This window comes from Homo sapiens, chromosome 2, assembly GCF_000001405.40.
Source record: "Homo sapiens chromosome 2, GRCh38.p14 Primary Assembly".
Lineage (NCBI taxonomy): Eukaryota > Metazoa > Chordata > Mammalia > Primates > Hominidae > Homo > Homo sapiens.
The window spans coordinates 150,614,820-150,639,206 of NC_000002.12; the positions used below are offsets into that span (position 1 = coordinate 150,614,820).

At 39.2% G+C, this 24,387-nt stretch overlaps 1 long non-coding RNA gene across 4 annotated transcripts, besides 1 other annotated feature; it reads left to right on the forward strand.

Moving 5' to 3' along the window:
- Positions 5,433 to 6,632: an enhancer, noted in NCBI's record as "CDK7 strongly-dependent group 2 enhancer chr2:151476766-151477965 (GRCh37/hg19 assembly coordinates)". NCBI's record gives its function as "activates an origin of replication core promoter dependent on BRD2, BRD4, P300/CBP, MED14 and CDK7 cofactors, with strong dependence on CDK7, by STARR-seq in HCT116 cells {active_cell/tissue: HCT116}" and the evidence as "EXISTENCE:reporter gene assay evidence [ECO:0000049][PMID:35650434]".
- On the forward strand, positions 14,078 to 20,538 carry LINC02612 (long intergenic non-protein coding RNA 2612). Of its 4 annotated transcripts, NR_110244.1 has the most exons (5): positions 14,078 to 14,302; positions 14,821 to 14,895; positions 17,448 to 17,577; positions 19,817 to 19,920; positions 20,367 to 20,538. It is a non-coding gene; the product is annotated as a long intergenic non-protein coding RNA 2612 (long non-coding RNA). The 4 variants fall into 4 exon arrangements; NR_110246.1 differs by lacking the exon at positions 14,821 to 14,895 and having other exon boundaries at positions 20,416 to 20,538; NR_110247.1 differs by lacking the exon at positions 14,821 to 14,895 and having other exon boundaries at positions 20,419 to 20,538.
- The last annotated feature ends 3,849 nt before the right edge of the window (positions 20,539 to 24,387 follow it).

Here is a 24,387-nt window from a genome sequence, read left to right on the forward strand (position 1 = left end):
CTCTGAAGGAGTGGCCTGAGCAAAAAAGGTAAGTGTGTCAGTCCCAGACGTGCTTGTCTCACACCCATTTCTAGCCCTTCCCTCCTCCTCTCTGTGTCCTTGGGAGGCTTATTCCACACACTGTATTTCCGAGGCTTTCTCACCTGCTGGTTCGTGGCCAGTAGGAGCCATCAGTAGAAGCCTGGAGAACAGAAAGAAGAGAGAAACCAGAGTATATCTCCTACTACTACTTATTTCATCCAAGCAGCAAGTTATTTGGTGGCTGACCTTGACCGGAACTAATAAGAGGCCATTTCTTATCTTTATTGATCTCACTTTGGGTGACTATGTGCATATGTTGCTGAATTTTGTTAGGTGGTGCTGACCCTAAAATACTGGGGGCCGTGGCATACTCTATGATAGATGTACTATATTTCCTTTCTAAAATCTGAAAAATTGTGAGTTATGAGACTTATCTACCCCAAGAAGTTTCACATGAGGGACTACAGATGTATAACTTACAAATTCCATATGATTTTTAATTCATAAAAAATTAGACATGTAATTGGACATTAAATTTGACTTTTCCTGTTGCCTTGGATTTTCAACAACAACAAAAACTGCAGTAGTTTCTCCCACAGCTTAAAGAAGATGCTCTACCACCTAAGTGGGACACACTTAGAGATTATGTTGGCTATTCTGCCAAAGATAGCTCATCCTCCACCTCCAGACTACAGAAGATGTGGCCAAGAACTCATCCTGGGGATAGACTGATGATTAGATTTCTTTAGAGAGAGAGTTGTTGCTGTGTTGGTCACCCATCCCTCTCCACTCGTGAAGCATCTAAGGAGTCCTCCCCTCAATCCAAAGGAGGGATGGCTCCAGGAAGAACCCTGAGGGAAGGACCTATGAACACCTAGAAGATGCAAGGACAGGAATCTGGCTCATCCCTGAAAGAAGGTCAATGCATGAGGCTGTATATGAAGTTTCTGTTGCTTGGTGGCAGAGAGAAGGGACAGGTCTGATTTGGGACAAGCCTGCACTTCCACAGTTTAGAAAGGCAAAGGGAAAATTTTCATTTGGTCCAGATCCAGCCCATAAAAGGGGTGCCTTTGAGAGGGATTCTGCAGAGGTGAGGAGACCTAAGGCTAGATTGCTCAAAGCTTGAGGGGTCTCAGCAGGTGGGAAAAGTTATAAAAATGCCCAGGTGAGACTCATCATTGGATATGATTACATCCAGAAGTCTCCAGTGAAAGGTTATAGCATTCTCAGTCACAAAAGACCCTTTCATATCCTATGCATTACAACTGAGATAAACTCTGGGTATGTGGTAGGGTTATCAGAAGAGAGGATTGAATACACCTCTCTTTTGCACTGTAAGTTTCCTAGCTTGAAGGAGGCTTAACCAAGGGAGAACTTTAAAATTGAATGACAGTGTAAATTTTTAATGAATGATATTTCTCTGGAACTGGCATTCTGATGCTGGGAAGAAGACAACTTGTTTCAAGGCAGACATGCAAATAAGCAACAAGAAGCAACAGCTCATAGGCTCCCTGTAGGCAGTGTATGTGGGATTGCCTGCGGTTCTGGGCAGGGGAGGACTGTGAGCCATGACTAGGCCGAGTGGGAAGATGTGCCATGACCACAGGGACTTGGGAGCTGAGAGCAGAGGCACGTAAGCCAGGTACCTGTCATCTGTGGGTTAGGGAAATGGTGATAGTAGACCTGGTATTCTCTCCACACCATGAGAGCCCTTAGGAGTGAGTCTGAGATAGGGCCAAACACACAGTAGGCACTCGGTAAATTTTTGTTGAATGAGGATAATGTAAGTTGTGGGGCAAATCTACTTTCCTCATGTTCTAGAGGATTCTTTGCACATTTGAATGTGAGCTTCTGCTAAAGAAAAAAAGGCTTTGATCCCTTACTTGGCTGTAAGAATAACTACTGCCACCAATAGTATGACATGCCTGAAGGTCAAGCAGACCCCCATCAGTAGAGACCTACAACTCTCTTGAGGAGCTGTCATTGAAGGATGACTACTAACTTTCCAGCTACAATTAACCTATAAGGCTGGTGCTGCAATTTATCAGTAAGACTGGCTTATTATTTAGACAGCGTCTCTAAGAGGATGCAATCAGGATAGAAATAAGATGGAGTAGTTGAGGCACCTAAAGACCTTAAACCCTCTTCTTTTATAACCTCCATCTTTTGGAAGCTCAGAAGTCTCTCTTGAGATTTTTCTCTAATTTATGCACTGACAGACCAGTCTCCTCTGCAATGCTGGAATTACTTAAAGGGATAATTTCCCTCCCTTTAATCCATCCCCTACCCAGTCATCACATTTGTCTTCCTAAAATACTGCATTATCTGTATTTATTCTTGCTTAAGAAATATTCAGTAGCTGCTTACTGCTTACCAAATAGAATCCAAATTCTTCGGTCAATTATTCAAAGCACAACATTGATTTAAGCAAAGATTTTGAGTGGAGTCATTTCACAGAGAATGACACTCCAGCCACCATGAATGATCACCCTTTGAATGCTGATAGAATTGATGGATCCATGGTTTCCACCTGCAGTCTCTCCCTGTTCCAATATACCCACCAAAATGTCACCAGATTTACTTTGTCACAGAAACATTACTAGCTACTCATTACCTACCAAAAAAATCCCTAACGTCTTAAGTCAATGGCTGTTAACCGTGAGTGTATGTTGCAATTAACTGGTGGGTTTTGTGAACATGCCAACAATGCTCGAGTCATCTGAATTAGAAGTGATAACCAGTGAGGCCCAGGGGTCGGCATTCTTTTCAAAGCTCCCTAAGTGAGTCTAATGCATAACCAGAATCAAGAGCCACCATCTTGGATGATCTTTCAGGAGCTCTGAATAGGAAATGGCAAGGACAGAGGCGTGAGAGGTAGGATAAAAAGGAGAGAAATGAGGTAATTGAGATGTTGCTTGCAGATGCCCTGGGGATGAGAAAGCTAGTTTTTCATCTCTGAGTGCAAATGAAAAATGAGCTCTGCAACCAGCCCTTGCCAGTGACAGTTCCTGAGCCACTCTTCAGTCTTTTATATCTGGTTCTGGCAGAAGTGTAGCAGTGCAGCCTTTTGCAGGTTCCCAGTGGTGCTTTGGTAGACCGCTGTCCCCATTCTGTGCCTATATGTCCCAACCCTGCCCCTTCCTAAGGGACAGGACTCTGAGAGGCACAATTGCAAAAGTAAGGCTTTATTGGCTGATAATTTTTCCCACTGCATAAAAATGAATAGGGAGACAGAGTTTTGTCTGTTACAGCTACTTATAGGGTACTTATAGTTCTTTTCTTCCTGGAGTAGAATTAGGTGCAATTTATGTCACATAGCCTACCTGCCAGGATTTCTGTCCCAAAGTGAAACAGAGAATCTTGAGGGACATAAATGATAGTACTATGAGTGAACAGAGATAGCTGTGCCCCCTAACTCCTATTAGGAGGTATTAATGTCTAGGTTTTGCTATGAGACCTAGGGTGGGCTTTATCGAAGCACTTTATGACTGTGCTTTCGAAAATGTTTCCCTCTAGTCATCATTATGAGGTAATGTATTAGGTAATGTCTTGAAAAATAGCCAGAGGGCTGAAGTGTCAGCTTTACAGCTCACATACCTGAAAATAACAATTTTGGTTATTATTTTTACACTACAATATATTTGGAATGCCTCATAAATAGAAATTAATCGTGACAACTCTGTCTCTGGACTTAAACACAACCTTGCCAACAAAAAATGCTCGGAGAAGCCTAAGCCATGAACTTAATACTTTAGGGAAGAATTTCTCTCTTTTATCCCATCTAGGGAACATTCCCAGCATCTTTTGTCTCAGCCATAAGAGCCAACATCCGTTACCCAAGGTTCACTAAAATCCACAGATAATCTCCAATCAACATGTTTAAAGAGTTACAACCTCTGTTTCCGTCTTATCTTCTACCAGAAACTCCAATAACCGCAGAGAAAAGACTTAATATATTCAGCTCTAAAGACAAAAAGGCTGGCTTGAAAAGTGAGAGTGCTAGCAAAGAAATGACCAAATCATTTTGAAACCCCATATATATGTATATAACTCATCTCATTTTTTTTTCATTTGTTTAGCCCTGTAGGTGTGATTCAGTGCTGTTTTTGTTTTCTTTTGTTTTGTTTTTAGAATTTAATACCTTATAAATAAATGAAAAGAAAGACAACTTAGTGTCAGTGAAGTCTGGGCCAAAAAAAAAGCATTGATTTGTGAGGGTCCTATGCAGAAATCACTCCAGCAAGTATGACCTTCACATGCAAAGTTTGGTCACTACTCTGGAGTAATACTTTTCAGATTATTGAAAGAAAACCATATTAATGAATTAAATATGAACTAAGCATACACTATGTACAAAACAATATTCTATCTGTCGGCAAAATGCAAAGTAGTATCTCTACAGTCCTAGCTTCTAGGAGATTTATATATAATTGAAGAGATATATACACTGTCCTATACAATTACCTTGGACTCTCAATAAAACTGATAATTTTCTCATACTGCACTAATCAAATTATTCATTTCCATGAATGTCCTTCTGCTAGAGATTAGGGACTAGGTTATACTTGCTTTGTTGTTGTTATCTCCAGTGCCTCATAGATATTCACATGAGGTAATTAATATATGTTTGCTGAATAAATGACCACTTATAGAGAATGTGTACACTAATATATGTACATGCAAATACACATATATGCAATAAACACTTATCCACACTTAAAATTATATATATATATTCACTTACATGAAATTTGATGTATATTTGTGTGTAAGATTAGAAGAAAGGAAATAACAAATGAGGAAATAACAAATGTATTACAATATTTCCATCATGCTGGTGTTATGAAAATGGAGCTATGCCTAAATTGTCCTTTAATATCATAGTATAAGTGGTGGCCTACAAGATATATGAGTAGGAACTGGTTTGGCCTTTATTTTAACTGAATCTCGGGCATAACAATGCCCTTTAGCACATTTTTCCGGACACATTCTCCAAGAGTTTTCCAATAAAGCAGATTTCGGCATTGCTGCTTCTTAGTGAGGTCCTGAAAAAACTGCAATGAAAAGGAAGATAACTTCCTTCCAAATATGCATCTCTGTATTATATGGAAATAAACAATAAAACATGTGATATGATATTTTTATTACCTGAATTATGTATTTTGAGGTCCAAAGACTGAAAAAGATGTTCCATTTTTTTTCTTCCAACTTGCTTGGAGGCAAATGTCCTTTAAAATTTGCACATCATGAGAATGGAATGTGCTCAGAGATCAGCTGAAAGTTTTTTTTAAAAAGTGAGGGCTTTGCAGCTGTGGCTGTGTGCTTAGGCTCGGCAGGAGAGGACAGGTCCCCTTCTGGTCATCCTACGAGGAGTTTTGACAAGCTCACCAGGAAATACAGACAATGCTGTCTGTCCTGACAAAGCCCCATGTGGGCTCTAAGCCAAACAAATGCAGGTGTATTATAATAATAATATCTTTTCTAGTACAATATAATCTGTTTCCCACTAAAATCTTTTGAACTAGACAGAAAAGATAATTATCCCCAGGTTATAGACAAGAAAGCCAAACGTTAGTGAGGTTTAGTGGCTTGGAAGTTTCTACAGTAGAAAGAGGTTCAATTGGAAGTAGGACCTAGTATCAGATTCCCTATAGATGTCAAAGGATATAAATGTTTGCAGTCTTATTATTTCCTGGCTTTTTGACCCTCTGCAAGTTTCTCAAGCTCTGAGTTTGACCAGCTTCTTCAATAACATAGAATAAAAGTCTCTCACATGGTTACTCTAAGGGTGAAATAACATATGAAAATAGTTTTATCAACAGCAAAGTAGTATTCAGAGTTCATGTCTCCTTAATCTTTTATTCCTCTCCAAACAGAAACTATAGTTTCCCAGAAGCATACACTTACAACAACACAGATACACAATTCTTTATATACAATTCTGAAATCCCCAAGAATCTAAATCCAAAAGTATTTGTAACTCATTTAGAGGCAAAATCTTCTCTGAACTGACAGGCCTATGTATTACCTTGTTTTTCTTTATTTAGTATGAATATTCATTTGTTTCACAGCAGAAATATCAATGTAATTGCAAGGTCATGAGTTGCTGACTCATACCTGTAGGAGGTATTCTGCAATAATTGCTAACATAACATTTTATCTTTATTGGGATTACCAAACATCCTGTATCCCAATAAATATCTTGTCTTAGGGATTTTGGAGACTTGTAACATGAGGCTTGTGACATAGAATCCGATTGACCCAGCTTCGAGATCATCTGACGATGCGATGCTGCAGTTCTAGGTGAAGATTGTTTGGTTCTCACAGGCTGAGTGGTTCTGGGGTCAGCCATAGGTTGGGTCTACTCCAAAGCAGACTCGGGACAGCCTTGGAGATGCCAAACACTTCCCGTCCTGAGCTTAACCTTGATTCCTGTGGCCCTTAGAATGATTATTCTTACAGCAACACACCCAAGTGCTAGAACCAGTAGCCACGTTAAAAAATGGATGAGCACTGGCCAATTCGATCTGAGTTTGAATCCCTGACCTATCACTTACCAGTTCTGTACCCTTGACAGGTTTATCAAGTTTTTTAAACTTCAGCTTCTCATCCTTAAAGTGGGAATTTTAATAGCGTTTTTGAGGGCTGTGTAAGTTTTAAATGGCACAGCATATGTAAAAGGGCTTTCTGTGGTGACTTATTCCTACTAAATGTTCAGTAAAAGTCAGATTATTTTCCCCTTTCATTTGTTGGCATTTCCGTACTATTTCCATCAACAGAAATCTCTACCATAAGGCTATTTGTGAAGATTTTCTTCAAATAACTGATTTATTGTGGTGGTGGTTGTTAATTAAAATAACTGATGATTGTTATTGTTTTTTTATTTCTGAATCTCAGTCTGGATCTGTGCCATCTTAAAGTCCAGAAAGTTGAATTGGTTTAATTCCAATAGTATTCTGCCAAGATTTTTTTTAAGAAAACAAACTCTGTTAATAATGTATGAGGTTTATAATGCACATGTATCACAGTTTACAGGAAACAGAGAAAAATACCCCTAAGTGGTAAAGTGTGTTTATTGTAGGTCAACTAATCACATTTCTTAAACCTGGAATATATGAAATTTGATGCTTGGCTGTAGTCTGTGAAGAACTGCTGGGCATGGACTGTACCTTGGCTGTGATTCATTCTGATCTTATGAAGGCTGGAGCTCATGACTATAGAGTATGAGGCTGGCATGACTAATTCCCTTATAATTATCAAAAGGTCTTGAGTCAAAAAGTTATCTCCCGAGTTTGATCACAAGTCGTAAATGCACAAGGAGAGATTCCCTCCAGTGTTCAAGTTTCTCTCTGCTGCTGACTTGGGCGGCATGGGAGCCCCTTCTTAGGCCACCAGAGAGCCTCACGGTGAGGTGCTGGATGATACTCTCAGACCCTTCTCCTCAAGTAAAGGAGGACATGCTACACAAGGAAGGATTGCAAGTTTATGGAGGTGGCTTTATAGGTCAGTGGGGAAAGGAAGGACAATTTAATAAACAGTCATAGGACAGATAGACATTATAAAATAAAATAAGCCTCCCTAATTTGGATCTGAGGAAATCAATGCCAGGTGATGTGAAGACTTGAACAGAAAAAAATTTATAAGAAAATACGATATGACTTTAGGAGAGTGATACAATTTAGACGTTTGCTCCTTTTGAGTCTCATGGTGAAATGTAATCCCCAGTGTTGGAGGTAGGGCCTGGTGGGAGATGCCTGGTCATGGGGGCAGATCCCTCATGAATGGGGGTTGGTGCTGTCTTCGCACAAATTAGAGTTCTCTCTCTAATTTCACATGAGATCTGGTTGTTGAAGTGTGTGGCACCTCTCCCCTCACTCTCGCTCCCTCTCACCATGTGACATGCCTGCTCCTGCTTCACTTTCTGCCATAAAAGTTTCCTGAGGCCTCACCAGAAGCTAAGCAGATGCTGTGCCATGCTTCCTGTACAGCCTGCAGAACCATGAGCCAATTATACCTCTCCTTTATAAATTACCCAGGCTTACATAATGCTTTATAGCAATGCAGAAACAGCCTAATACAGATAGGGAAGGAGTCTTTAAAAAGACAAAAATGCACAAATCATGAAAAGAAAATGTGGCCAAATTTTACTAAATGAAAGTTAAAACTTCTGTAGAACAAAAGGTACCAAAAGTTACCATAACACTATTTTTATAAAAGTTGGAAATGTGCAAAATAAGTCTATATATTATTTTTTATATTATGTATATAACATGTATGTATGTGGGATGTGTGTATATATGTATGTATATATAAATATATATATAAACAGCATAAAATACGCTTAAGAAAAACATGCATTAAAATTCAGAAATTACTGGAGTTACCTCCAAAAACACAGTGAAGGAAATGAGAGAAGAGAGTGATACATAGGGGGCTTCAACTGTATCTGTAACATTTTATTTCTTTAAAATTTTCTTTCTTGGCTGGGCACAGTGGCTTATGCCTGTAATCCCAGCACTTTGGGAGGCCGAGGTGTGTGGATCACCTGAGGTTGGGAGTTCGAGACCAGCCTCACCAACATGGAGAAACCTTGTCTCTACTAAAAATACAAAATTAGCTGGGTGTGGTGGTGCATGCCTGTAATCCCAGCTACTTGGGAGGGTGAGGCAGGAGAATCGTTTGAACCCAGGAGGCAGAGGTTGCAGCCAGCCAAGATCGTGCCACCGCACTCCAGCCTGGGCGACAGAACTAGATTCCATCAAAAAAAAAAAAAAAAATCTTTCTTTAAAAAATGACACACATATGGCAGATGTCTTAGTATCAAAAATATGCACAGTGGATACACAGGTGTTTGTTATTTTAGTAATTCTTCTATGCTTGAAAGATTCTATATTTAATGTAAAAAATACTATTCACTTGATAAACAATTCACTATAGGCAAACATTTGGAAGAACTAGCAAGCTTCAGAGTCCCCGGGCCTTTTGCCTTTCCTACAACATGGATCAAAGACTGCTTGCTTCTCTGTCACCTCACTTATTTTTCCTAAGTTTGACTTGAGAGAAAAAGTGAAAAGTTTTCCACCAATGGACTGCAGTTGTCCTCTGCCATCAGAGTAGCACAGTTTTCGCCTCCTTGCAGCTGTCTTGTATGGCTCTATAATATGTGTGTTGTTTCCCTTCCTGCTCCAATCCCCACATCCGGGAAGGGCTACAGTTTCCTCCTCTGGGTTCTGGGATGTGCTGAGGCATAGCAGAGCGGGTGACTGTCATTGAAACTTGGCTGCAGCTGCTGCTGCTTCTGACACTGGAGAATGTGCACTTTAGCATCATGTCCCACTCTCTGATGCTAAACAGCCCTTTTCAGTCTTTTAATAGATTCTTGGGGGAAGAGGAAGTGGAGGCTGAGGTTAGCTTTGTTCGCTTGTGTGCCTGTCTCAGTCAGATTGGCATCTGGCGCAAAGCCTACTGTTTAGTCAGATGGTATTGTTTTATGTTATACACACAGACACAGACACACACACACACACACACACACACACAGCACGAGCTCAAACCATATGTCTCTATGTCTTCAAGTTACGTTGCACTGACCAAAATCATATTTATCACACACTGAGGTATAAATTCAAAATACATGTTCTTTGGCGTCTGTAACCATGACAAGTGAGGTTCTGTTTTTTCAAGATGGCAGTGGGTTGGAGGTAATAGAGAAAACTCCCTCCAACTGATCTCTACTCTCCTTAGTGAAAAGAATGCATAGAATGTGATGAGAGGATCAGTTCAACCAATTATCCCACACAGAGAATTTTCAATCTTTCTAGGGAAGCCTCAGTAGACAATTAATGTTAATCAGAATTCCCAAATCTTTTCCACCCAGACTCCTAAAGATGGCTAGAATTCATCTAGAATTCATGTGAAACCCTGCCTTCTTATTCCATCTGGACATGGTTTTCTTCCAGCTGAAAGCTTCCCAGAGCCCCTTAAGACCTGCCTTCACTTTCTAGAGTGAGTTTAGAAACTTCAGAACTATGAAAACAGAGGTCAGCAAACTATGCCCCCATGGACCAAATCCAACCAGCTTCCTGTTTTTGTAAATAAAGTTTTACTGAAACAAAGCAATGCCCACCTGCCTTTTTTTTTGTTTTGTTTTCCAGCAAATTGTCCATGGCTATTTTCATACTACAATGGCAATGTTGAGTATTGCCAGCAGAGGACATTTTGCCCACAAAGCCCAAAATATTTACTTATGTGGCCCTTTACTAAAAACATGTGCAAGTCCCTGGGAAATAGAATCCTATGTCCTGAATGACTGATTGAATTAAACCAAGAAATAACAGGTCAAAAATATGGTCATATTCAATTCATACCAGGTTCATACCAGGGAGCAGTGAAACTAGCGGCCAAATGTCCCACCTCAATTAATTCTTATTCAAATATTACAAAATCAAAGAAGTTTTCTCCAAAAAGTAGGCCTGCCATTGATTAGAAATTATACCCTGCTGCCCTATTATCACTCTCCTCAACACAAACTATGGAGTAGCACAGGGCTTTAGTTTCTCTGTGACTCATCCTCTTTGCTCAAGCTGACATTGCTCCCCATACTTGTCACCCCACACCTGATAGCCAGGCACCAAGATGACCATAACATTGGCATAGCCAAGAGTGCCTGGGGATGTAATGACACACAGTGAATTAAATGTCCTAGAAAGGAAAACACTAACAAGCTTCCTCATGCTCTGGGTCATATATTCATCACCAGCATGTGACTACTATTGTTCCTTTTGTCTTAGAAGAAAAGTCATGCAGAGGCTGACTAGGCATAAAAGGCAGATTTTATATATATTTACTTAATAGCTCTATGAGTTCCAAAACCGCCTGAATAATTCAATCCACAGGAAAAGGACCATTCCAAAGAACTCCCAACCATGACTTACTAGAGTTAATGATGTTGGTTTCCAGAAAGTTTGTAACTCCTGATATTATATGCATAATAATATATTTGGTGAAGTTAGTTACCCTAAGAAAATCTGCTCTGGGTACTTTTTTTTAGAGCTGTCTGCTTTGTGGTGACTGGACTGAGAGCCAAGAGACTGAAAACCATGTGACTCAGGGCAAATCACTCAACCTCCCGGTTTTGACTGGACTCTAGAAATGAGGAGTTTAGACAAATAACAAGAAAATCACCCTCCTAGCTTACAAAGCACTTTTCTAAATGTTATCGTATGATTTTTAGATGAGTTGTATATCTCCAACATACATAAATGCCACTGAAAATGCTGAAACCAGCTTGGCAATTCTTCAATAGTCTAGAAAAAGCAGGTCAAAGTGTGCAGTAGTTTGAATGTCCCCTCCAAAACTCATGTTGAAATGTAATTGCCATTGTGATGGTATTATGAGGCAGAACCTTTAAGAGGTGATTAGGTCATGAGAGCTTCAACTTTCTGAAAGCATTAGCGCCCTTATCATGAGAGTGGGTTAGTTATCACGGGGGTGGGCTCAGGATAAAAGGATGAACTTGGCTTGATTTCCTCTGTGTTTCGTGTGTTGGCTGTGTGATGCGTTCTGTCATGTTATGACACAGGAAGAAGACCCTCACCAGATGTGACCCTTCAGTCTTGGACTTCCCAGGCTCCAGAACCATGAGACAAATATCTCTGTTTTTTTTTGTTTTGTTTTGTCTTTGTTTTTGTTTTTTTGTAAATTCTCCTCTGTGGTATTCTGTTATAGCAGCACAAACAGACTAAGACAAATTGTGATTCTCATTTTTCCACCATGACCTTCTTTATAACAAAGACATTGCTCAAGAAATAGAGTATTTTAAGGGTTTGAATTTCTTTTTCCAGTGCTCACCTATGCCCACTTCTTACCTAGTCCTCTTCAGATACTTTTTCTAGGTAACTGGCCTCAGTTGTGCCATAGGCCTAAGATTAGAACAAAGCCAAGAAACGCTAACAGGTAACATAAAAAATGCAAGCCTGTGTGCACCAGCATCACTCAACTAAAGCCTGATCTTTAGAACTAGAAAATATCCAGTGAGACATTGTGGCATTCGTGTGTCTTGGGTGTATTCCTCTCCTTCCACTAGTGATGCTCAGTTAAGTTTGTGGGGAGTGTTTTGCCAGACTGAGCTCCTTTCTTTCCCAGGCATCTGTGCTAATCCTGGTGGAGTCCTTGTGCTGAAAACCTCAGACTCTGGTCTTTGTTTTCAGAATTCCTATGCAGAGGAAATTCTCTGTTTCTGACTGTGTGTGCACAAGGGCACAGTTTTGTGGATTACAGTGTGTATTTGCAGGGGCAAGGTTTTGCAGTGTATGTATTTGTACCATGGTAAAGCAGTGGATGGAATGTGGAAGGGTTAGGACACATTTTCTTGAGGTCTTTCCAAGTTGCTAAATGTTTTCTGTAAAGCTCAAGAGTACAATCAGGCTTGGATTTCCTCTTCTGACATTCTCAGCTGGTGGCATTTGTACCTCTGGGAGTGCACTGGAGCGACTGGAACTGAATGGTTGGCATAAAAAACTTCTGGGACAATGGGTAAAGAAAGATGCATGATCTGTCTGCCCAGTAGCTGAGAGTTTGGTGTGAAAAGAAAACAAAATCAACTTCCAACTCAGTTTCTTGCCCAGTTACATTCTGCTAGTCAATCAAGTCATCCAATCACAAATGCTTAGGAATTTTAATGTGATTCTGGTGGTTTGGAAATTAAGTACACAGGCCAAACATCAGAAGGCTTGGTGGGATGCTCAGGCCTAGGTAAAAACAAGAATTAAACTAGAAAAACATTAATTGTTATAGTATCTCTTCCTGATGGGTTAGTTTATCTTATATGCCCTGAAAAAGAAAAAATGTTGCATTTGAGTAAGAAAATAAACTGAAGTGCCCATGTGTCTGACAAACATCTATTTTTAGGACATTTTTGAGGTCTTAAAAAAGAATGTTAGTAGCATGGAAAGATTTTTCAAGAACAACATTTAAGTTGACATAATTATATTGGTTTGGTAGACTATTACTTTAGGGTAATGGTTTCCTAATTTGTTAGGACCCAAGCAACACTCATCTGTTTCAACCAAAGTAGCTACCCTTTCGTTTTCTTAGTGCCTTCTGATTTTGAGGTTCTCTGTGTGATTTCATTTGAAGAAAAGTTTCCACTGCAAAAGAACTGGAAGAGCATTGGTTAGGTCATTTCTGAGAATCCTTATAGCTTCTCTAGCTGATATAATGGAATGAAAAGGGAGATAAATTATAGAGAAAACAGTGTGACAGACACTGCTAATTTTCTACCTAAATCCTCCTCCTCCCACTATTCTACCCTGATTTTTCCTTACTTGCTGAACCCCAACTTTGTTCTAATACTGGGAGCTACCATGAGTTCAGGGATGGAGACCATCTTTGACCCAAAAGTGAACCTCTATTGATCTGTATCAATCAGAGTAGTCTTAATTGCTGGCCAGTCATTGTCTCAGGCATGGACGTGTGCTCTAACTCTGAGCTATGTGGAACTAAGATCTCCTCGAAGCATCTGAAGAAGACTTTTCTAGACAGAGAAAATCCTTTCAAGGTAAAATCTGTTTTCTATGCTGGATTTCTGAACTAGGGTTAGCCACATAACTTGCAGGCCCAAGTGAAAACTTAAAATGTGAAGATCCTTATTCAAGAAGCAGAATCAAACATTTTCCTTTTATCAATGATCTCTCCTTCTTGACTTGTCATGGTGGTTTTTATTTGTGCTTTGGGTTTGGGGTACCCTCACAGACACCTAGAGCCTCGTCCTGCAACTCAGCATGTACAGCACACATTATTCTGACCCCGATCCCCTGCACTTATACTCCAACCTCTGCTGGAGGCAGAGGTGGGCAGCAGCTGTTGGGCAGTGGCTGGGAGCAAGTGGCCTAGAACTTGTCTCAGCAAGGAGGTCAGGAAGGACTGCCCATGAGTTGGGGCTCTGAACCCTTGGTACATGCTTCTTTGTTCCATCATACTTCACTTACAAAGCACACATTCTAAATAGAATTACTAAGAATTTCAATACAGTGACCACAGAGCATTAGCACCCAAGCAGGACCTGCTGAACCTGGGGCCCTATAGGAGAGCACTGATGGCCCACCCCTGATTGTGGCCCTGGTCTTCATGTCTGCATCAGCCTCAGCCATCTCAAGACCACAACAGGAACATAGCCAAGTCAGAGAAGGAAGACCAAAAGCACCAGGGCCCTTCATATTATTAAGCTGCTAAATTAACTAATCTTGGAAACTTCTAGACTCTACAATTCTTGTTGTATGAGGTAATAAACCCCTCGTTTTATAGGTCATTTTGGGGGGTTCTTTTATTAATCACAACTAAAGCATTTTAACTGATAGGAAAGACCACATATTGGTGAAAAAGGTCTACAGAGGGACCAGCAGGAGATGGTAAAGCTAAAGGAGTTTTGCTCTAATGTTCAAATCCATGTCACCTGCCCTAGAGAATGCTGTTCCTGCTTTTCCCTAGCCACTGTGCTGGGCATGAGAGGCCCCCTGTCCTCCTTGGGCCCAGAGAACAGAAAATGTCTTCACTTATACTCTACTCCCTCACATTCCTCCACTCTTGGAAGGTTTAACAAGTTCAAGAGAGAAGATATTGGCCAAATACAACACAGAGGCTAAACACAACACCTATGTTGATTGTTTGGTGCATAAGAATTGAGATGATGGAAAGAGGTCACTGTGAGCTTCAGGAATAGCTTGAGGCTAACTGATAAAACAGGTGAGATTTGTTTTGGGCCCTCCTACCTCCCTCATAATATATTCTTCTATCCTTCAGAAATCATCTACTACATAAAATTCTGGTTTCATACTTGGCCATTCCTGCTTAACGGAGCTAACAAAGAAATTTAAGGTACTATCTTACATAAAGGGTTGGCTGCCCAGTGCCTCAATTTCCTTCAAATGTTTGTGATTTCATGATTCTTCACTGCTTTATTCCTGCCCTTCCTACCTAGAAATCCTGGGAGCATGGATTTTGGGGACCTTGAGAAGTTCTAAATTTATAAAAGTCTACTCAAATTTATGGGACTAAAGGAAGACTAATAACGTCCTCTGGAAAAAGTACCTTCAGAGAAAAGTCATATGAAGAAAGGCCCTTGAAGAATGTGGGTTTGGTCACATATGTATAGGGAAGCCTTTGGTCCTAAGAGGCCGGTAGTTTTGCACACGTGAAGCTGTCTCCCTCTGGTTGAGGAATGGAATATGATCCTTAGAAGCATCTTTATCCACATTTTAAAAATGGTTAGGCACTAAGCATGCTTCCCAGATACTTCTAGAGATTAGCACAGGTGTCTATAAATTATGGTTCTTTATTCTTATAGGTTGTACTAGGTTGAAAAATATCCCCACAAAACTTATGTCATCCCATAACCTCAGAGTGTGAGCTTATTTAGAAATAAGTGTAATTAGTTAATATATAGTCATACTGGATTCAGTTGGGCCTTAAATCCAATGGCTGGTGCCCTTATGGGAAGACAGATGAAGACACACAGAAAGGAAGGTCACTTAAAGACAGAGACAGAGATTGAGTTCTGTTGCCACAAGCCAAGGAACACCAAGAGCCACCAGCAGTTGGAAGAGGCAAGAAGGGATCTTCCCTTGAAGTTTCAGAGACAGCATGGCTCTGCCAACATCTTCATTTTGGACTTCTAGCCTCTAGAACTATGAGAGAATACATTTCTGCTATTTTAAACCACCCAGTTTGTGGCAATTTGTTACAGCGGTCCTGGGAATAATACACAGGTGAAAAATAGAAGTAGACCCCTCATGGGGCACATTGACCATCATGGACTAAGAAGGCTTGAGAGCTGGCCACTGACTGGGCCCTCCGTTTCACAAGAGGACATGGAGGAGGTATTTCTTCAACACAATGCCTGCTCACTGTTGTGCATCAGAAGTTGTGTTTACCTTTCCATCTCACATGAGCCCATGAGGTAAGAAATATTGAATTGGATGCTGTCTCAAAGGTCAGCATGCCTGTCTGTCTGTGTGCAATTCACACTCCTCTGGGTTTCTCTCACTCCTACCTTTTCATCAAAAACCTTCTACCAAAGTCTGATCACAAGGTCTTCCTGTTTGAACTGGTGAGTTTTTCTGAGTGGCATCAGACAAAAAGGCTGAAAGCTGTTGGAAGCTTCCTCCATAGTAGATTAGCAGCACATGGGTGAACCAAGCTCATACATTATTCAGAAAGGAAAAATGTGGGCTTTGACTGAACTTTGAAGGAATCAGCAGCTATTCCAGAGGAGAGTGCCCTATTGTTCTGCCTCACAGAACAAAAAGAGCAAGTGGCATTCCTTACAGCATAGCTAATGGAGTACACGCAGACACTATGATGAACTGACCAGTGGACATCTTTCATGAGCTCCGAAATCCTGTGCAGAATGACCTATTGCTGATCAGAGAGAAGATGTTCACACTTTTTTTTTTTAAATTTATGTAGCGTTATAACTCATTGCTATCCAGAGGAGGAGGTTTCTGGAAGATAAAATGCTGCCATCTGTGGAGCATGTATTTATCAACAGTACCAAAGTCCCCTTGGAAGGGTTACCAGGAAGATTAGGTTGACCTTTCAATCACTGTCTGGCAGGTCTTTCCCAAAAACATGGGAAGCATTTCCTGTGTCATGAAGCAAGAAAATAAATTTTTTAAAATTTCAATTTTTAAAAAAATAAAATCCATACTACACATGTTTCTTTGATACCAGAAAAAGATTTTCCAAAATGGGAAGAAGAAACCCTGCCAAAATGTTCAAGTGAAGGCTAATAGGACCTTCAGCCAAGAGCATTTACAAGAATTCTGAATTAATTCCTGGTGAAGTATCTATTTCAAAAAAAACACATAAAATGCTGCTATTATAGTCCTCCCGAAGTCCTACTTTATCATCAATGTATCTGAGTACATCTTGAAGTCATGATTAACTCATTTAAAAGTTCACTTGTGTATGCTTATAACTCCTGTTCACAGAAGCTCAATGCATTTTTCTAGTATTCACTTACTGGAAATTTTTTCTAGCAAAATATAAGCTCATGAGAATAATCAATCCCAGAGACAGAGGAGACAAATAAAGAAAAAAAAAAGGTGTTGGAAGGTAGAGGAGATAAATGGATCTGAATAACAAATGAAATTTTCTCTCTGGTCCCAGTACTTTTCTCCCAGATGAAAGATGCTGGATGCTGGCATTGCTGACACTTCTGATGTGAGGCCAAGGAGATCAATGCAGGAGGAGACCTCTTAAACAGGGGCTTTATCAAGAATGGCCTACCACATTCATCCATTGGCCCGCTACCATCTTTGATGTCCAAGCCAGCTAGATCAAGACATGATTGTGTTTTTAACTAGCATTCAACCTTTAGGTTTTACAATAGAATTATTTCCCCAAATCTGCCATGTGCTGTTTTCTAGAGTGGATTGACAATTATTCTCTGGACTTTTTGGTAACCAAGAACTTCTAGCAACTAACCCTGGCATGACCACCAGAATCTGCAGGGCTGAGAGAAGAAAGAAAGGCAAAAGTGGATGAATGCAGCTGAAGGTAAGGATTATAGAGCTGTTATTTGATGTAGGGCAATGTTATCCAAAATATAACTTGAGGTGCGTTAAAGGCTTGGCAAATAAAATATCAAAACAAGACTGACCTTTTTTTTCAGTTTTAAATTATTGGAGAAAATACTAATAACCAATAAAAGGAAGCAAGCAATAACACTGAAAATTGCTCTTTCAATATTTGTAAAACCTGGTTCTCTGAATATAATTCTTAAGCAAGATACTATCATAGAGACAGATTAATTAGTATTAAAAAGACATCTAAAAAAACCCTATTATTTGAAAGTTAATAACCTTGTAATTAATCCAATTGCCCAGGATATTAATGAAAACAAGAAATGTTTAGTTCAGCCAATCTCAGTAACTCAATAAACTATGCTGGGATCAAACTGGTTACTTAGTGATCAGCAGTACTTACAGATTAAGAAAAGTAGGTCAGGCACGGTGGCTCATGCCGGTAATCCCAACACTTTGGGAGGCCGAGGCAGGCAGATCACAAGGTCAGGAGATGGAGACCATCCTGGCTAACACGGTGAAAACCCGTCTGTACTAAAAATACAAAAAAATTAGCTGGGCGTGGTGGCGGGCACCTGTAGTCCCAGCTACTCGGGAGGCTGAGGCAGGAGAATGGCGTGAACCCGGGAGGCGGAGCTTGCAGTGAGCCGAGGTTGCGCTCCCGCACCCTAGCCTGGGCGACCGAGCGAGACTCCGTCTCAAAAAAAAAAAAAAAGAAAAGAAAAAAAAGTAGATTACATTCAATTTATTACACCACTTTATAAAAACAGTCAGAAACACAGAGAACTCTACTTATAAATACAATTCCCACCCAATAAGATTTTTTTTAAATCCCATTATAATAAATTTGCTGAACGCAAGTTTTGTTAAACTTCGTGTTGCTTCTCTTCCTTCAGGCGATTTATTCAGCAATTAATTATATTCAGCCTTCATAGTTAGCTTTGCCTCAGGGTTATTTCCCCAACTGGATTACAGACATCTAAAATCACATCCTTTCAGATTGAAAGGACTCTTTAAAGGTCATCCATCTAATGCTTGCCCTCTACTCCCCACCCACCCAATGAAGGGAATAATTTTTATTTGGCTTTAACAATTGCTGGAGAATCTAAAATAATTATTATCTTATTGAAGATAAAGCATCTCAATATTATTGAAGGAATAAATAATATGTTTGAACTATTCAAAATATCCAGTAGCTTCTCCAATGTTGCACAGCTGTAGGGCACACCTTACCCCTGTGAGCTGGGCTACTCTTCTCTAGCTGGGTAAGCTGAGCAGAAGCAGGCTGCCTTGTTACTTAGTGGGAGATCACCCAGCACTGCCATATAACACAGGTCTTCTCTGTAAAATAGTGCCTAGAATACAAAGGCAAATCAAATATTTGAGCTATATGGAGGCTGAATATCAAATTTCCCCAACAATTGAGTTGACTTGACTAGAATTCATTCTGGAGAAAAATATCAGATCTGTTGAGACATTTTATTTTTTAAATAGCTAATTAAGATGGTAACCAATGTACTTGAAATAGTCTTATATTTTGAGCTTCCTGTAGTATAAAATTTCTACTTCTAATGCATCTATTTTCCAATTATCTTTCTATAGTATTTAAACATATGTGTTGCCAAGGTTACTGAGTAGATAATTTCTGTTGAGTAATGAAACTTTAAATATCTGGGAAGACCAACATAAAACAAATCCCAGTAAATGAATTAAGCATATATTTATTTGCCCACTATGCTAACCATTGTGAGATTCAACAAACACCGAAAAGAAAGTATTATTTTGTTTATATTTTGCTTGGCAAGTATTCCTAAATATGCGGATTAAATCGATCTTTCATCATTACACCTGATTGATTATAAGGGAAGGAAAGTGATTTGTTAGGGGAATAAATAATTATGTTGATAGTCCAAATTTTGATTTTTAAAAACTGCCATTATTTTGACATTTTTCTGGTGTTCAGATTTTAAAAGCACAATTCAATTCATATAGTACTTAAAGAAAAACAACAAAATTTTTTATAAACTTATTTAATAATACCTATAATGCTTAAACTTATTATGTAATTTGGTAATTTAAGAAATTTGTTAATATTGAGGAAAGCTACATGAATCATTCCAAGTCACCAGATTTGCCCTAATAAAGTTCTTTAGCATTTTTACACATAAAAATTATTTGCAATTCAATAATTCATCCCTTCATTCATTTCGTAGATGCTGTGGAACTCCTATCACATTCCAAGTGCTGTGTTGATATCTGGAGATATAGACAAGATCGAAGCAGATGCAGTCTTTCACATGAATATTTGAATCAGGCAGTATGTTCCCCAAATTAGCAAAGTATCTCCCAGATTTTTTCTTTGATGATATATTTGAAATCCTAATGCTGAAAGTTAAATTATCAGGGTTTTAAAACTAGAAGCAGTCATTATCAGAATTTTATATACTATTTATTTTTAAGAACGTAATTTGACTGTTTAAGTCTTATTATAATTTTAAGTGAAGTACTTTGGGCAGTCATAAATAAAGTAATGGGCAGGTATTTAGTATTCATATTGTGTGGATTCATATCCATACTCTGCCACTCAGTATCTCTGGGATTTTGATGAATGATCAAACTCTCTGAGCCTCAGTTTTCTAATCTGTAAAGCAGAAATGATAATGGTATGTAGTGATAATTAAACAATTTACTAGTTGTAAGTGCTTAGAACAGTTCCTGGAATAGAGAAAATTTGCAGAGAGATTTTTATTGTTTACAATTTAGTTAATGGAATGGCTTCAATAATACAGTAAAATTAAGATATTCAAACAAGCAGGATGCAGGTGATGGGTATTGGCCTCAGCTTTAGAGACCAGAGGTTAAATCTCAGTGCTGCCTGCCACAAAACGATCCATGTAAGTCAATAAACAATGCTTTTTAAAATATTATTATAAAGATATAGTGTGTGGATCCCTCTCAATTGTCCATTCTTCCCTGTCACAAAAATTTGCCTGCTTTTCGTTACCATGTGAGAGGCAAATGAATTGAACTAAATGGTTTCTAATGCCCTGTCCACCTCTAAAATTCTATAGAACTGTGATTTGATTCCAATGGGCCATATCAGGACTCGGCATTATTTTCATCAGTGAACCATTTCATTAGAAATTTATTTTTCCAAATGATATTAGTAAATATTGAAGGAGGCTTCTCCCACAGAGCTTCTTGTACAAATTAAAACAGGGCAGTAGAAGGTTTTCAGGTTGGTGAAGTCAACTCTGGCTTTTAGTCAACCATTCCAAAAAAACATTTTCTTTAGAATCCAAGGGCTTGCAATTGTTCTGAATAAAGCATAAAGAAGCTGTTCTGATTTATTAAATAAAAAGAGTACCAAATATATGATTTTTAAAATGTTTCAAAGTGCTTTTGTATTTATTTTTTCTACTTTGATGGTAATTTTTCAGAAGAGAGCTGCACTGGAAACCTGATATCCTAGGCTTTGCATTCATTATATGATTTACCTATAGGAGCAGATTACATGTCTTTGAGTCAACTCACTTATATGGTGCCTTTCTCTTGTGAACATTTAAATTTATTTCAAAAAGTTACTTGGGAAAAGTTAGTCCTCAAGCAGTCAAGTTATAGTTATAAAAAGAAAAATGAATTACACATCCAAACACAGTCTTGAGATTTAACAGCTTTTGTAAGCGACAGTTTTATTTCCATACATAGAGTCTTAATCATTGGCACATCCTACTCAAAACTATACATTGGGGATTAAATAATTATTTGAAACATTACCATGACATTTGCAAAAGCAAACATACTGGACTAAAAAGAAATATACTTGTGGGAAGAAAAAAATGTTCAGCTATCTTATATTGCCTTGAGATTTTCTTATTAAAGATCCTTACAATATTGTGACACATAGGGGACATGTCCAAAAACTGAAAAATGTTAGGAAATTTCAGTTTAGTAGTTTGGCTCATCTTGACTGAACATCGTGCCTGGTAAACCAAACAAATAATTGTGCAGGTGTCCATCATGAGACGAAGAGAAATAGTTAACAACAAAAGCAAATTGGTCAATTCAGTCATATACTATCAGTCTTCTATTCCTCAATTTTTTAAATAAAGCAGTGGTACAGTGAAATTCAATTATTTTGCCAACAGATATATATGGAACATCTGCTGTGTGCTTTTACCTGTTGAATATTTCATAGGTTAAGATATGTCATCTGTCTGTGGTTTTTTTTTTTTTTTTTTTTGAGACGGAGTCTCACTCTGTCGCCCAGGCTGGAGTCCAGGGACACAATCTCGGCTCACTGCAAGCTCCGCCTCCCGGGTTCACGCCATTCTCCTGCCTCAGCCTCCTGAGTAGCTGAGACTATAGGCGCCCGCCACCAGGCTTGGCTAATTTTTTGTATTTTTAGTAGAGATGGGGTTTCACCGTGTTAGCCAGGATGGTCTCGATCTCCTGACCTCGTGATCTATCTGCCTCCACCTCCCAAAGTGCTGGGATTACAGGCGTGAGCCACCGCGCCCTTAATAGAGCAGGAGAGGTCACATGTAAACACACGAAATGATTCCTCCAGCTTCCTTCCTATCACCTTAGCCCAAGGCACCATCATCTCCTCCCCAGATTTCTGCATGTCCTGTCTGTTTCTTCATTTGCCCTTTTATAATATTTCTTCTACACAGGAGTCAGTGATCATCCATTGCATTTAAAATGAAACCTATACTGTTTAGCATAGGAGGAGGAGAAGGGTGAGGAGGAAAAGGAATCATGCTATTTTCCCTATCCCATAGCTTTCAAATTTCTCCACAGTCTGACCCTATCTCTCTTACCACATCTCCTGTCACTTTTCACCTTGACCAGGCTGCAGTCTATCTTTTTCTGCAGTAATTAAGGCCGATGGGAGTAGCTGTCCTTATCTGTCTTGCTCTTTGTATCTGCATTGTCTAGAACAATGTCAGGCATGTAGGAAGCATATAATAAATATTTGTTTAAAATAATAAGGAATAAAAGAGTATTATGTACTTTCTATATATTGGTAGGCTAAATTTGCAAACTGTTTACAGACATTAAAGAACAGAATGATAATTTATATTTATTATTTACTTATGAGACGGAGTTTTGCTCTGTCACCAGGCTGGAGTGCAGTGGTGCAATCTCGGCTCACTGCAACCTCTGCCTGCTGGCTTCAAGCCATTCTCCTGCCTCAGCCTCCCAAGTAGCTGGGACTACAGTCATGCACCACCATGCCCAGCTCATTTTTGTATTTTTAGTAGAGACGGGGTTTCACCATGTTGGCCAGGATGGTCTCAATCTCCTGACCTCATGATCCGCCCGCCTAGGCCGAAAGTGCTGGGACTACAGGTGTGAGCCACCACACCTGGCCCAGAATAATCTTTTATAAAATCATAATACGTACCAAGTTCAAAAATAAAATAATTTTTAAAATAAGTGGGACAGTAAGCATAAGGTAGACCTCATGGGAGGTTAAGACTTGAGATGGGTCTAGAATAATAATCTGAATTCAATAGGTGAACAGGAGGGATGAAGTACAGCATTCTAGCACAGTACAAAACCAAACGTGAGCCAGGAGTGGGAGTAGATGTGTGAATATGTTTGGAAGAGGACATTAAGAAGGCCAAACTGACAGACCCATGGATTCAGACTAAGGAAGACTGGAAACTAAATGTGGATAAGAACAGCCAAACTATTAAAAGACTTCGGCAGATCAGCAAAGGAGATTATAATTGATTAAGTGGGAAAGCAAAATGGATTAAATGTTTTTGAGGAGATTGCCATCATAATAAAAGTAGTGCTTTAGGAAGATTCATCTTGCAGCACATGGAAGGTGGAATAAAGGAGGTAAATAACTTTAGGCCGGGATACCTGCTGGCCAATGTCAATCTTTGACAATGAGGTGATAAGGTGAGGGCCATAGTATGAAGTGACAAAGATAGTGAGAGAAAGCGGACCAAATCATAGAGGACAAAAACAACCGATGGTGTGAATTTGGGTATGCGAGAAGGGAGAAAGTTAGTCAAAGCTAATAAGACTCAATGTGTACTAGAAAACTCCCTTTCCAGCAGGAGACTGGAGACAAAGGAAGCCATATTGCTAAAGGTCAATCTTCTACACCCCAAACATAAAGGTTATCTGTGTGCCTTAATTTTCTATTTCTTTCTCAGTATTTGAACAAATTTAAAATATGTCATTCTAGAATCCTATTATTAGAATATGGCTCTTTCAAAGTCTCTCAGTGAGTTATACATCTATATTTATAGCTTTCTTATCATCAATAAATCAATCAATAAAGTGTTTCGGTAGAATTTATAGGCTGTGTGTCATGAACATCCATTAAGGTGTCTTCCAGAACACCCCTTCTCTGCCTACTCCATTCACAGAAGTAGATCTGGCTGGCAATACCTGATTGGACCTGACATGGGCACCTGTTTTAAGCTGGTCCAGTTAGAACCTGGCCTTGAGAATTTTAACCAGTAGACAGCAGGAAAAAAGGAACAGACACATGTTCCTTACAGAACTCTAGAGAAAAAAATCCATGAGTTTGGAGTAGTTTTGTCTCCATCCCTTCAAGTGCTTCATTGTTCAAGTCTTTTTTCATTTCTTTTGTCCCTTTTTATCATCTTCTGGTTTCTATTGCATACAACTCAAAGAAATTTAATTAGTACCTAGCATAAAATACTTATGGAACTTGCATCAAATGCAGATTCAGATGTTTCTAGTGGAACTGGAAATGAGAGCAGAACAAATGCAATTGTGGAGCTTGGAAAGAAAG